This window comes from Homo sapiens, chromosome 21 (genome assembly GCF_000001405.40).
Source record: "Homo sapiens chromosome 21, GRCh38.p14 Primary Assembly".
NCBI lineage: Eukaryota > Metazoa > Chordata > Mammalia > Primates > Hominidae > Homo > Homo sapiens.
In genome coordinates, this window is record NC_000021.9 from 26,281,436 (window position 1) to 26,283,422 (window position 1,987).

The 1,987-nt window shown below is 40.2% G+C and overlaps 1 annotated feature.

Annotated features, from left to right (window-relative positions):
• Positions 220-1,151: an enhancer, noted in NCBI's record as "OCT4-NANOG hESC enhancer chr21:27653974-27654905 (GRCh37/hg19 assembly coordinates)". NCBI's record gives its function as "activates a minimal SCP1, AML or CMV promoter by ChIP-STARR-seq in naive H9 embryonic stem cells {active_cell/tissue: H9 hESC(naive)}" and the evidence as "EXISTENCE:reporter gene assay evidence [ECO:0000049][PMID:30033119]".

The window sequence follows — 1,987 nt, forward strand, 5'->3', positions numbered from 1 at the left end:
AATAGCATCCTCCAACTGTTTTGCTCATGTACTTGCTAAAAGAATTTTTTAAAAGGGTGTGTACCCCCACATTTTAAAGATGACATGCCATAAATTTAATTAGTTACAAAAGATGTAGTTTCCAGCATATTGTCTATTGCATAAGGGTTTTAAATACATGTTTTTCAAAACTGTGAATTTAGCTCATTCCGCTTATGATACATGTCACCACATCACCTAATTAACAAAGCCAGTTCTTATTGTCAGATCATTCAGCCAAATAAGACTTGTTTTCTGTCAGAAAAAGTCTGACTTTATTTTGTAATTTAAATAAATACATCAACATGCACCCTGCTGACAATCATCTCATTTTGGAACTCCAATTCTAGGATGAATAACTAATTAGATACTTCGAAAACTAGTAAGCCAGCTAGCTAAAGCAGGGATCCTTGCCATGAGTTGGCCAGCCCTTTAATGTTTCTTAATGTGTCCTTAAAGTACTGGTCCTTAAGAGCAATGTAGTCTCCAATTGTCCCTTTGTTTAGTGGCTCTGAGGTTTGTAAACAATGGGACAAGTCACTGTGTCAGTTTCAGATTGAATGAGAGATATGCTTTTCTTTTGGAAAGTGGGAGAAGGGTCATTATGAGATGGGAGGTGGGAAAAGGAGAACTAGCAGCCTGTAGATACGTTATTAGGCAAATTTATTTTAGAAACAATGCCTATGGAAGTTGAGAATCTGGAAAAGAATCTGCTTAAAATCACCATGATATGTATCCCCTGGGGAGTTTTCATGTACCCCTGCCAAGGAGTACACAGCCCGGAAGCACAAAGAATTGGTAGGGGGTAGGATACTCTCCACTGTCATTTCATGCCAAGCATTTCAATAAGGCCGGAATGGCAAGGACTGTCTTTTGTTAGGGCTGGCAGCCCCCACACATGATGCATACTCCCCTTTGAAATGAATTGGCCATCAAGCAACTTTCTATGATTGAATTCCCAGGTCTGTCGTTAGGGTATTGCCACTTTATCACCTAATATTTACTGAGAATCTAACTTGTAGGTGCTTCTGGGAACATAAAATATAATTTATGCAATTTATGAAGATTCAAATTTTCCAGAAGTCAGGATGCCTAGAGGCAAATACAGTAGTGATTAAAAGCAATGACTCTGGAATAATTTGTCCTAGGTTGGAATTCGGTCTCTGCAATTTTGCTTGTGTTACGGGGATAGCCTCTGTTTTCTCATCTGTTTAAATAGAAGAAATAATACCTCTTTTACAGTGTTTAATGTTTTCTCCATTTCTCCTCACTCCTTCGTCCATGTTTCACCTTCTCTGCAATGATTCATCCTTGTAGACCACATCACTAGAGTTCCCTTGCCAGTTAATTGGCTTCCAATATTTGCTAAAAAGTGGTACCAGGGGAGATTGGAGGGTGAGGAGAGAGGTGAGATATCTTTTCTAGGCCCTCTTTGGGCCATACATGACACCATGGCTGGATCCCTTCAAAACTACAGACAACTTTTGCTGATGGTCTTGCCTTCATATTTCAAATCTAACTCTACCTCACAGGCTTCTCATAATTTCTAGTCTCTGACCATACCATCAGAATATATTTACTGTGATGTTTCAAAGTTTTTCTTCAAAGGAACTTCCCTCTCCTTTACTCAGTGGGTTCTGGATGTGAGACGAGGCTTATATTTGGAAACTGGGCAGGGGATACCCAGTTCATACTGGGGTGGCTGCTTTACCTTTCTGATCACCCTGATTATAACAGTTAAGCACTAGTCTCATTTGCTGCCCACTTATTTTGCCTCTAGGAACTCTGTCTTCTACCGACCACGTCCTTATTCTATCCTCTGCCCTCTGTTATGTTGGCTCTGGCATTTCTACTTCACTTAGTGTGTGACCTGTTGCTTTGCCTAAGCTTCCAAGGGCCATCCTAGCAGTGTATGAGCATTGTTTCCCAGGGTCTTTGCCAGAGTGTCAAATCTGTATTCTGAGAGAGA